At 48.1% G+C, this 12,750-nt stretch overlaps 1 protein-coding gene and 1 non-coding gene across 39 annotated transcripts in view; both read right to left on the bottom strand.

The window, feature by feature from the left end:
- The window catches only part of ATP6V0A1 (ATPase H+ transporting V0 subunit a1), a 63,702-nt gene that overhangs the window by 7,073 nt on the left and 43,879 nt on the right, over positions 1-12,750 (bottom strand). For 11 of the 38 annotated variants that reach the window (XR_007065303.1, NM_001378531.1, NM_001378522.1 and 8 more), the window contains 4 exons: positions 7,880-7,987; positions 6,918-6,935; positions 1,529-1,646; positions 1,047-1,218 (listed from right to left, as the gene is read on the bottom strand). Coding sequence is in view for 33 of the 38 variants with exons in the window: in NM_001378531.1 (NP_001365460.1) it covers positions 1,047-1,218; positions 1,529-1,646; positions 6,918-6,935; positions 7,880-7,987 (416 nt within the window). In the remaining 5 variants the exon portion in view is untranslated. Of the gene's footprint in view, positions 1-816; positions 964-1,046; positions 1,219-1,528; positions 1,647-6,917; positions 6,936-7,879; positions 7,988-12,638; positions 12,714-12,750 lie in introns of those variants that run through there. The other 27 variants (XR_007065304.1, XR_007065305.1, NM_001378532.1 and 24 more) reach the window with 7 other exon arrangements.
- Positions 1,200-1,319, bottom strand: MIR5010 (microRNA 5010). The gene has a single exon (NR_049808.1). It is a non-coding gene; the product is annotated as a microRNA 5010 (primary transcript).

Below are 12,750 nucleotides of genomic sequence, written 5' to 3'. Positions count from 1 at the left end.
GCCCCCAACCCCTCCCCTATTTTTTTTTTTTTTTTTTTGAGACAGAGTCTCGCTCTGTTGCCCAGGCTGGAGTGCAGTGGCACAATCTCAGCTCACTGCAACCCCTGCCTCCTGGGTTTAAGAGATTCTTTCCTGCCTCAGCCTCCTGAGTAGCTGGGATTACAGGCACGTGCCACCACACCTGGCTAATTTTTGTATATTTAGTAGAGACGGGGTTTTACCATGTTGGCCAGGCTGGTCTCGAATTCCTGACCTCAGGTGATTCACCTGCCTTAGCCTCCCAAAGTGCTAGGATTACAGGCATGAGCCACCGTGCCCAGCCAAACTGTACTTTTATGTGCTACATCTGGCAACGCTGGTTTGAGGTGGTCACAGCCCAGACCACACCCCCGCTCTCCCAGTCCCAGAGGCTGAACTCATGCTCTCTCCACACACAGCCATTAAGAGTCACAAGCTTCATTAAAGAAAACAAACAGAACCACCCCAAACCTGCCCATGTGAAGAAGCTGCGTGAGTGTACCGACCTCCACCCTATAGAGCCAGGAATCCCTCCGGTCCACAATGGAGCTGCCAGGGGTCCAACTCAAAGACCCCTGGCACAATGACAGAACAAAGAGGATAAAGCTGGGGTGCAGCGTGTTCTAGCCTTTCCTGCACTTAACATACATTCCAGAGCTGCTTCCACTGTTCTGAAGACAGAAGAGTTACACATCAGAGAGAAAACCAGAAACCCTAAGACCCCAGCAGCCCCTTTAAGCCAAAATCAGGAGCACTGGGGACAGCTAAAGGCAGGGAGCGGGACCTGACACCACTCACCAGGGACATCTCCCTAGAGCCTAGGGAAGGCTGAGCTGTGCTTTTCTGTGACCATTTTCCGAAACTCTGTGGCAATGCCGGTGCTGGGGTGTCCTGAGGTGAAGCTAGTGCAGGGCCAGCTCATCTTTCCTGCACAGAGCTGCAGGGCTGTGTGTGGGAGAAAAGCTGCCCTCTCACCGCAGCTAAGGACACATCCACCCCCATGCCCGCCCTGCCCCACTGCCCCTCACCAGTGTAAGCGCAGTGCGTGGAGAAAGGCCGAGAGGCCCTCCATGATCAGGAGGATGGCCACGGTCAGGGTGGCAAAGGCAGTGAAGAAGAAGAACAGCACCAAACCTCCCGCCAAGCTCTTCACGCTCAGGCCGATGTGGATCACCATGGTCCAAAGCACCTCAGACAGCTCTGGGGAATGGGAGACACAAAATCCAGTGCAGTTTGGCAAGAGGCAGCTGTAGGCCATGAATTTTGCTCTGCCATCCCCCTGCTCTAGGGTTCCCTGGATCCTGGCTTCCCACTGCCTTAGTGGGACCACCATGCAGAGCTAACCTGGCACAAGTGCTGAGCCTCCTGTCTGTACTCATTCTCCTTGGGTTCAGGAACCTGAATAATTCCAGAACCTTCATGTAATTTCCATTTGACTTAAGCCCCCCAACTGACAGTGCGCCCACAGAGGGGGAAACTAGAGTTCCGGAGCCCGGAGAGAGGTACTCACGCGCATGAGCGAGGCTGAGGGCCCAGAGCCGCAAGTAGGAGGCAGTGTTGGAGATGCAGCCCAGGCAGTACTCGATGGTGTGGATGGCCTGGTGGACCATGGTGTCCCCAAAGTCAAACTGTCGTGGGAGGAAACCAGAGAGAAGATATAAGGCTAGGAGGGGAACGTGCAGGCATTCTGAGTTGTGGCTACTTGGCGCTTTGAACCTGGGCCAGGGCAGGGGACTGCACTTCCCATGGATGGCACCTCAACTCTGGAGGGGCCAGAAGCACCCAGTGTTGAGCTCAGGTGGTGATTTCGGCAATGCCTTCCCCAAAAATCCTGCCTGACTTAGCCCTCACCTGGGACACCTCCATTCCCCTCAATACATTACATTTTAATTAACTACATCTTAATAAGATTCTTTTCAACACATTTGTTCTTCTCCCTCTGGGGCTCTGTGCTCAAGAGAGGAGTGTGTGCTGAGTTGACGGCACTCTGTTGAGAAAGTGACTGTCTGGGTCTGGGACCCTAAGGACCTGCAGGAGGGCAGGAAGGGATTTTCCCCAGAGTGCGCTTCAGGAGACAGACTCTCAACCCGGACACTGTCCTGAGAAGACTAGGCCTCTATGGCCACTTTACTTATTCTTTTTACAGCCTTTTGGGAGCAAGATAACCTTCTTTTTCTTTTGTGACTTCTAAAGAGATTACACGGTGAATTTTTTTTTCCCTACATGATTTCACCACCATGCACAGGGAAATCCTGACAAAGTTTACAAATTTCCACATGGGTTAAGGCCAAACAGCATATCTGTTTGGGTTAAGACTAAATAGCATATCTCCAGTTTCTTGTTTGTTTTCGTTTTCCTCAAGCTCCCTTTGTCCCAGTTTTCCTTTCAATACCAAGAATTATTTCCAGAATAAAGGAATGGGCTGGAACAAGCTCTTGGGAGTGAACTTTCAGGTTTGCTCCAAGCACAGTCAGGGGTGAATGTGGGCTTCTGAATTTGGTATATTCTGGAAGCCCCAGGTACTTTCCCTGGGCCTCTCTGTCAAGCTGACCAAAGACCAGGAGGCGCTCCCTTATGGGGCTTCCCCCCGCAGAGCCCAGACCAGAATCTTCTGAGCTTTCAGACACTCCTGAGGGCTCAGTGGCCTCCCCATCGGCCCCTGCCCTCAGGTCAGGGTCTATTTTTCACCGCAGTTCCTTTCAAAACCCACGTGATTCCACTCCCAAAGGACACCAGAAATGCCTTGGGAAATCACTGAGAACATGGGGATGGGAGAAAGTGGCTTGGCTGGTAAAGCCACAACAGCCCAGGCCACAGGGGTGCAGCCAGCGTGGAGGGGGCTGGCTCCACCATGCCATCTCTGGGCGAACGTCTGCTTCTCCCTCACCTCTGTCGACACCTAGCCTATTTCTGGGCTTTTCTTCCGGAACAGGCTCTTCAAGCTTCCTTACTTACCCTGAAAACTAGGGTAATCCTAGTTCCCTGAGTTCCCTAAATCCCAACACCGTGGTTAAGAGCTCTTTCCTACCACTGCTGGCTGCCGCCCCAGGGCCCGCATTGAGAGGAAGAAGTCCATGGCTCCCAGGAGTGCTGATCTCTACTCCTATGGGCTGGGAGGGCAGTGACCACTGGGCTCCCTTACAGCCAATCCCTTCAGTGTTTTTATTCTACCTCAAGTTTCTCCCACCGAATAAACTGCAGGACAGGAGAGAAGCCTCGCTTCCAGGCCTTACCCTTGCCTTCTCTCCTTCATTCCCAGCTTCCTGCAGGTGTTCTCAGGAGAAGCAAGGACTGGGTGAGAAATCCAGCTCAGCACTTATGAGTCTGCCACTCAGCACACGCCCGTATCAATCGGCCATGACCAACCATGAATCGCTGCAGAGTCCCTGTCCACATCTTCTGCCTCAGTTTCCTCTCTGCCCAGCCAGTCCTCACCCTACTGCACCCTGGCTTCCACCTTCACTCCTCCACAAAATGCCTCTACTTAGTAAGGTCACCCTAACCTCCCAGTTGTTACTTTTTTTTTTGAGACGGAGTTTCACTTGTCACCCAGGCTAGAGTGCAGTGGTGCGATCTCAGCTCACTGCAACCTCTGCCTCCCGGGTTCAAGCAATTCTCCTGCCTCAGCCTCCTCAGTAGCTGGGATTACAGGCACGCACCACCACACCCGGCTAATTTTTTAGTAAAGATGGGATTTCACCATGTTGGCCAGGCTGGTCTCAAACTCCTGACTTCAGGTGATCCACCCACCTTGGCCTCCCAAAGTGCTGGGGATTACAGGCGTGAGCCCCCGCGCCTGGCCCAGCTGTTAAAGCTAACAGATGTTCTGTGCCCTTGTCCATGCTCCTGCAGTGTCTGTCACCATAGCCTCTTCCTCCTTTTTGAAATACCTGCCATCCCTTGGTTTTCCTCCTACCTCTCTGGACAGTTCTTTTTAGTCTCCATCGAGGTTCTTCCTTTTTTTTTTCTTTTTTCAAGACAGGAGTGCAGTGGCACGATCTCAGCTCACCACAACCTCTGCCTCCCAGGAGAATCAAGTGATTCTCCTCTCTCAGCCTCCCGAGTAGCTGGGATTACAGGCACATGCCACTACCGCCCAGCTAATTTATGTATTTTTAGTAGAGACGGGGTTTCACCACGTTGGCCAGCTGGTCTCAAACTCCTGGGCTCAAGCAATCCGCCCGCCTCAGCCTCCCAAAGTGCTGGGATTACAGGCGTGAGCCACCACGCCCAGCCAAGGTTCTTCCTTAAATGCCGATGCTCTCTGAAGTTTCAGCTTCAGCCCTTGCATCTTTCTGGTGGGATTGCTACTCAGGGCTTCAAGGGTCGCCCCTAGGAGTGACTCCAAGGTGGATCTCTCCATCTCTGCCTTGCCTATTTCCAGCCAGCTGTACTCCTTCTCCTGGGGAACGACAGGCTCTCCATGCTCAACACAGTAACTGCTCTCCTCTGACCACACCGAGATCAACTTCTATTCCATCTCCCATGTCCAGCAGACTGGAGAGTCTGGGAGTCAATCTCGAATCTTCTCTTACTCCTTACCTTTATTAAGGCACTGGGACCTATAGCTTTCACTTCTTTAATATCTCATATTGGTTCCTTCCTTTCCAACTTATCCTACAGACACTTCACTTCAGGCTCGCCATTCTGTCCTGAATCACATCAGATGATGTCGAGTCTATGCCTCCTGACCTTGTCCCTCCCCAACCCAATATACCCTACAACACAGCCACTGGGGGTATTTCAATGCGCCATGGCTGTGTCACCATCAGCTTCACCGCTCTCTCTTGGATGGCTCCTTGTTGTCCAAATGAGGCAAAAACTACTATGGCTGGTTTCTGCCAACCTCTAGTCTCACCTGTCCCCAGTTCCCCACTCCTGCCTCTGCTCCAGCCAAGCTGAATACTTGCTAGTCCCCAACACGTGATGGACCTACAGGTGTTTTGCCCCTGTGAAGCTGCATATGCTGGTGGGTCTGCACCACTCCCTCTACAGGGCCTCCTGCTTGACCAGAGTAAGACAACTTCCTTAGGGAGTCTTCCAGGGTCTCCTCTTCCACTCTCACCCCAGTGTTCATCAGTTGCCCTCTTTCTGTGCTCCTATAGCATCCGGGGCACACTTCTATTACAGCACCTGTCATCCAGACTATCTCCCCACTTTGGGAGGTCTTTGAAGGCAAGCACTATATTCTTCTTGTTTCTGCAGCACTATACATAGTGCTGGACAACACGGAGGGTGAGTGAATGCATGGATGGATGGGATGAATGCACCTGGTGAGGAGACAGTGGGGAGAGGTGCCACTGACCCTTGCTGAGTGGTCACGGCCTTTGAAGATTTCCCAGACAACCACTGGCCTGGCTCTGGTGTGTAGCTGGACTGAGTTCCCGCTAGGAAGAGGTACTAATGCTTCCACTGGGCTGGAGCAAGGGCCTGCATGGGACAAATACATTTTCACAGCCAAGCAAAATGGGGAAGTTCTAGAAGTAGGCTGAATGTTTTTTTAGGAACCTGTTTGGTTTGAAATCATTAGATAAATGTCATGGGTATCTAAATTTGGCTACAGAGAACCAGACTGTATATGTGCCTGATAAAGATAAAATGTTTAGACTACTTGGGTAGCCAAGGGTAGCTGAATCCCTGAGTGAGCTGGGTGGCCAGAGACTGGGGAGGCTGAATTAGAGTCTATCTTGTTGGATGTCCAACCTCCTGGGACATGGCTACAAACGAGAACGCTGGTACACAATAGTTGGTCAGACCATTCTGACAATGTGGGTGCTCGGCTAGGAAAACATTTAAAAGGCAGTGTTGTTGGAGGTAGTGAGCCAGGGAAAGGGTTGGGCTCCTCATTAACATGGAGCACGCCCCACCCATCCCTGCCAGGTAGCTCAGCCAGGGACTGCATAGATGAGCAGTCCAGGAACACAGACACTCTTTGATGCCAGCAAAGGAGCCTCTCTAGGCTTCAGGAAGAGCAGGCCCTACCTGTGTTTACACAGAACAGCAAAGGCTTTCCCATTCCCATCCCACTGCCCTCCTAGAGAGGACCGAGAGTCAGGAAGGGAAGGGTATGGTTTGTGGGTCTAGGCATTTTAGAGAGAAGTGCTGGGGGAAGATGCAAACAGTGCAGCAAGGTGTTTTAAAAACCCAGTTTAAAGAGTGTATGTTGCTAAGTGAATTACTGCTGAGCCAGAGGGCCTTCTACTCGAGATGTGGCCTGAACAGTTAGCCAATTTGCTTTCCAGTCTCCGTTATTCTCTATGTGGCTGATATAATATGAACTCCTTTCACACAGATGGATTATTTCCTTTGGGATGCATCTGGAAGGCAAAGCCTCCTTTTGAAAGCTGTCTCCCTCTCACCTGGGTCACATGGAGGTAGAGCTGACCCCGAGAAGGGTCCACCACTTCTAAGTTGAAGCATCATCAAGCTGAGGAGGGCAGCAGGAAGAGGCTGGCTCAGACAGGGAGGAAGGGTAAGGTTTGCTCACAAGCACTAGGAGGAGCAGGGAGGAAACGGCTACTCCCGGTGGCTGGGAGTAGATCAACCACAACATCACAGGAGAGGAAGGCAGAGGCCAATGGGACTTAACCCCCAAGAGGAGTCACTTCAAGAATGCCAGTGAAGACATTACTTGTAGCTCCTTTCAAAGCCATTCTCAGAGGTGTTAAATCAGCAAAGTCAATGAAACAAAGACAGAGGTGACCGACATGAGATGCAGTTAATGGAGATGAGCTTTTTAGAACACAGGCTCACGAACTGGTTTGAAATGGCCAGTGAGATGCAGAGGCACAGGAGTCATGTGTATGGCCCCAGGGTGTGGCAGGGTCAGCAGAGTGATCACAAGGATGGGAAGAGAGAAGCCCGGATAAACACGAAGGCAACGCCAGCTTTCATCTTACCACTTCGTCCTCGGAAGGCTTGAAAACACAAATTTACACTTAGTGGGGAGCCACGCCACACACAAGGTCACAAGTTAGGAGCACAAGGCTACTGAATGCTTCTTGGGGAGGACTGTTCATGTTAAATGGGCTAGCACGTTGGAGGCAGGCCTCCTCAGCATATACACAAAGCGAAATCAGCAGGAATTTAGAGCATTAAGATACATATTTTTTAAAGGCATCCACAACCCTTGTGATTTCTTTTTTAAAAAATCATATATAGTGAAAGTGGTCAGACAGACTGAAAAGTCCAACTTGAGTCCTCAACTCCTATTTTATTTGCTTTAAAAAGAACATAATGAGTAGATGAGATTTAATAGTTCAGTTCAGAGGCTTTGTGCTACAAGGGGTCAGGCAAGGAGAGTGGGCTTGGAGGTGGTATCTTAAGGAAAAGTCTAGTTTGGCCTAATTCTCTCTCTCCCTGTAAAAAGTAGGCAAATGACACCAAAAAAGCTCAAACAAAATATCTGCAGCAAGAACACATCAGTGGTGTAGGACTTCAAAAGTACCAGTGATTATAGCTGGTCAGTAATGTAATTGGAACGATCCTTGGAAGGGTCAATGGATGAAGAAGCTGTGCTTAGTGACCTGTGTTTCAGGTCATAAGAGCTGGGATGCTGAGGCCTGCTCTGCCTCAGGTGAGAGAGCAGTCAGTAATGGAGACCTGCGTGCAGAGCACTGCGGGCAAAATCTGGAATTCAAGATAGGAGCAAAACTGCTGCGGGCTCTGGGGGCAACAGCTGGAGCTTAGGGCAGGGCCCACTGGAAAAAGCTGTGGTGCCCTAAGAGGTCCAGAAGGCAGGCTGAATATTAATTAGTATTTTTATTTTTCAAGGAGAAGACTGGAGTGAGGCCTCTTAGGTACACAAGACTAGGGCTGACCCGAGGTGGAAGGAGAGAAAGCCCACACCACGGGATCTTACCTCGTCTGCGTCCTCTGAGTGGGTGGAGAGCTGGTCATGCTGAATAATCTCAGCATCCTCCTCTGTCGGTCCGTTGCCCACCCTGATCCCACCAAAGTTGAGAGTTCCCTACACAGATGAACAGAAAGAGTAGAATTTGCCTGGGCTTTAACATGACATTCTGTGAGGTGGGAAGGGCGATGGTTAGTAACACAAACCTCAGAAAAGCATATGTCTAACAACAAAAACAAAACCCACTGACTGAACGGCTAAGTAAAATCAAACAACTGTTCCACCCCAACCACCGCCTCCCCAGCCCCAGCCCAACCTACAATTACCACCTTACCCTGCTTCAGAGGAAATATGCAGTTCTGTCTGCTGTGCCAAGAGGCACCAGCCTCACCTGGGTCAACACTAATTGAGAATCCTGCTTGAATGAAAACCTTAATATGAACAGATTCTCACAACAAGTACAGCTCTATCTGTAAAGGCTGCAAGGGCCTAAGCTTTTCTGGCCCTAACGATTAGACTTTCTAAGAGGAAGGGGGGCCAAGTGACATTGTGATTGTACCCTAGTCTGATAAGCTTTTAACAGGAGCCCAAGAATTCCAGCAACTTCTTCCAGAAATGTACCATGTCTCTGCCCAGGAACAAAAAGCTTCCAAGGTCAGAGAAGGAAAAAAATGCTTAATGTACATTCACTTGTGGCTAGAGAATGCTGAGCTTAAAAAGATGAGTAGGGGCTCCTTTTCTTCAGCAGACAGCTCTGGAATGTTAGAACAATTCTTCCACAGGCACGTGGGCAGACGCTGATGGGGCATTTGCTTCTTCTGAGTTCACAAACACAGTCTTTTGTAGGGTCTCCAAAAGTAGATTTTAAAGTCAACTTGATTTGAAAAAACTTGAGTTTTTCCAAACCCAAAGCAAAAAAGACTCTTTGGGAAAAAAAACCAGGCAGAAATGAGTTAAGTCTCACAGATCCCAATTAGTGCTAACCTGCCACAGCGTGAAAAGGAATTTAAACAGCAGCCCCCAGAATCACTTCATATGGTTTCTGTCCAGGGGGCCAAACAAGGCAAGAGCTCAAGGGCAGCTCTCCTGCAACCTGGCCTTCGGGCAGCAGCATGAGTAGCGTGCAGGAGGCCTGCGCAGCTGCCCTGCGCTCCTCATCCTCAGCTCCACCTCCTGGTGTGCCATTTTTTGCCACAGCTCTCATCACAGTTTAATGCCCACCTCAGATCTAATTATTTGCACAAATCCTCCCTCCTACTCTAGCAGTGGTCCTTAACATGCTGGTCAGAGAACTAGTTGCATTAGAATTACCCCAAAAGCTGCATTTTAAATAGAAATTCTCAAATACTACTCCCAGAAATTGTAAATTTAGTAGTTCTGGGGTGGGGCCCAATAAATCTGTATTTTAAAAATATATTCCCAAGTACAAATTGTATAATCATTGTGAAGGGTTTATCAAAATTTTAAATGCATGAACCCTTTGAGATTCAGCAATCCCACTGCTGGAACATCTAGGCTTGCAAAACTTTGGCAAGGTATATGGATAAGGGGCTGGGCGCGGTGGCTCATGCCTGTAATCCTAGCATTTTGGAAGGCCGAGTCAGGCAGATCACCTGAGGTCAAAAGTTCGTGATCAGCCTGGCCAACATGGCGAAACCCCGTCTCTACTAAAAATACAAAAATTAGTTGGGCGTAGAGGTGGGCGCCTGTAATCCCAGCTACTCTGGAGGCTGAAGCAGGACAACTGCTGAAACCCGGGAGGTGATGGTTGCAGTGAGCTGAGATCATACCACTGCACTCCATCTTGGGCAACACAGCGAGACTCTGTCTCAAGAAAAAAAAAAAAAAAGACATATGAAAAAGGATGTTCCCTGAATTGCTGTTTGTGATAGCAAAGAATTGGGAACAACCAACACATCCATCAAAGAGATAATGACTTTGGCATGTCCAGTGGAATATTCTATGGAATGCTAGGCAACCATAAAAAAGAGTGATAGTCAGCTGGGCACAGTGGCTCACACCTGTAATCCCAGCACTTTGGGAGGCCACAGCGGGCAGATCACAAGGTCAGGAGTTCGAGACCAGCCCGGCCAACATGGTGAAACCCCGTCTCTCCTAAAAATCCAAAAATTAGTCCAGGCACAGTGGCTCACACCTGTAATCCCAGCACTTTGGGAGCCTGAGGCAGGTGGATCACGAGGTCAGGAGTTCAAGACCAGCCTGGCCAACATGGTGAGACCCTGTCTCTACTAAAAATACAAAAATTAGCCGGGGGAGGTGGTGGGTGCCTGTAATCCCAGCTACTCAGGAAGCTGAGGCAGGAGAATTGCTTGAACTGGGGAGGCGGAGGTTGTAGTGAGCCAAGATCGTGCCACTGCACTCTAGCCTGGGCGACAGGGCAAGACTCTATCTCAAAAACAAAACAAAACAAAAATTAGCCAGGCGTAGTGGTGCATGCCCATAATCCTAGCTACTCATGAGGCTGAGGCAGGAGAATTGCTTGAACCTGGGAGGTGGAGGTTGTAGTGAGCTGAGATCGTGCCACTGCACTACAGCTGGGTGACAGATCAAGACTTCATCTCAGAAAAAAAAAAAAAAAAGTGATTATCACTATGAAACAATCTTCAAGATACACTAACTTTTAAAAAACGTAATAGATCGAGAGGCAGAACAGTGCCACAGTTTAAAACACAATTCCTCATGTGTCTTTTTCTAGATGCATAGAGCACACACACACCTATCAATAGAAGACAGGCAGATATCTGTCAGAGGCAAGGCCCCCACCTGTTAACAATGCCCCCTGAAGAGGAGGACTGTAGTGGGGGCAGGTGGTTTTCTTCTTAGTTAGCACTATATGCATTCTCTAGCCAAGTGCACCTATTGCTTTATTTTTTTAATGTCAGTAGGGGATTGTCAGGACCATGAAATTATGGGCCACTTTTATTTCTTCTTCCACTTATTTGTTTTAATACCCTAAGAAACAAATTCAAAGTCTACCAGGTGACTGTGATGTGCAGTCAGACTTGTGGGCCACCAGAGCCTGGACACCTCCAGGTCATGCACATATTCCACCTGGCAACCCTCAGAAGGTGGACTGAAAATGCAACGAAGGGCACAGGAGGGGACTCCTGCATAACCTCGGCTGGGTTATAAGATATAGGAGGAAGGCTTCAAGGTTCAAGGCTCCCAAAGTAGAAGGCCATTTCTGAAGCTTTCTCCAACTAGCAGATAAACTGAGGAGCAGACAGGTTAAATCTCCCAGCCAGACACTAATAATGATCTCTTCAGAACACAGGAATGAGAGTTACAGGAAGGGGGATGAGAGACACATGTCAGCAGAAAAAAGAAAAGAAAAATTAAACTGTGATATATCACTCACAGACAACCAAGGGGACAAAGAACAGAACAAAACCAGATCACTGTTCATATCCTCAGCCCTCTGGGGTCAAAAATCCAGAGACTTTCTTGTAGACTGATCATCCTGATGCCTTCAGGCTGCTCTCCAGGAACAGATGTTTGGCTAAAGAACCAGTGGGGTAAGAAGACCCTATGAATGTGCAGGTTTCCAAACGGGGAACTTTTAACTTAGAATTTATCACAGAAGAAGTCGCAAGACTTAAATGCATTAAGATCTTGTCAGAAGCACATCTTATATATGCTAAGACTAGCAGAAAAAAGAGTATGTGTTAAGGACATTGACAATAGGTAGTATGTGTTCTAAAGGTTTGTTAAATGTCTCACAGGGAAGTCCCTACTTGAAAATGTATTTTAAGCAGCAAGATTAAAATTTTTTCTGACTCAAAATGTCAGCCCTTTTAGACTAGTTCCAGAAGGATGACTTAGACTAGTTCCAGAAGGATGACCATAAGAAATTTTCCAAGTTTAAAATCATCAGAAACACTTAATGAAGGAAATGGTTATCCATCTAAATCTTTCATTTTATTTAAAGAAGTATATGCTTCGAGCACATAGAAGTAATGCGTAATCACTACTGGTGAGACTTTTACAATCTTATAGATTCATTCATAACTTAGAATATATTAGGCTAATATATTTGTGCATTGTAAGATTTTGTTTAAAAGATGTTTTTAAGGACAAATATTCAAAGTGCTGTTACTGAATCTTGAATTAGTATCAGAAGAGGGAAGGATCAAGACAGATCACTTTGGTTATGACACCAGATGACAGTACACACGACACATCGGAGAGCAGAGGTCTCACTGGAACAGCTGAGGACATGTGAGGTCTTCTGAGTTTCTCACAAAAAACTAAACATGTATAAACTTTCACTTTCAAAAAGAAGGTAAGTTACTACTAAAAAAGATCAAATGTCCAAGCATCACTCTAAAGTAGAACTCTAAAGTGCAGGGAAATCAATTCAAGAATCACAGAGATATTCTCGCTTCCATGCTGAAAAATCATCCAATACATGGTCACAAAATACAGACATGAAAGTGGGTGAGTCCAAGAGCTGTCATCTTGGATTAAGATGATGGGACTCAGTGAGGGTACAACAAGCCACTTTGTTGCCATGGACATGCCTGTACTTACATTTTTGAATAGAAACTTAGTAGACCAATGCTAAAGATGATGCCAGAATCTATTCTTAAGAGGTGGAACTTCTGTCATCATCTCAGTGAGTAACAAGGACATATTTCCCAAAAGTACACATGTCCCATGCTCTCAATTTAATTAAAAAGAATTCTGCTGCACTGTTTGCCACCTCTTTAAATGAAATGTGATGGTTTGTTGGTTTTAATTCACTCACTGTTGCAGCCGCTGCTGCCTCTAGTCCCTGTTGGCTCGGGTTTGGGCTGACTGGGGCCTCCACAGGTTGCCCTTCCTGATAGTGAATGGAAGAAAAGAAGAAGGGGAAAGAA

The sequence above is a fragment of the Homo sapiens genome, chromosome 17 (assembly GCF_000001405.40).
Source record: "Homo sapiens chromosome 17, GRCh38.p14 Primary Assembly".
In the NCBI taxonomy this organism is placed as follows: Eukaryota; Metazoa; Chordata; class Mammalia; order Primates; family Hominidae; genus Homo; species Homo sapiens.
Note: the sequence above shows the minus strand (reverse complement) of the source record. Positions and strands in the feature narration are given on the sequence as shown.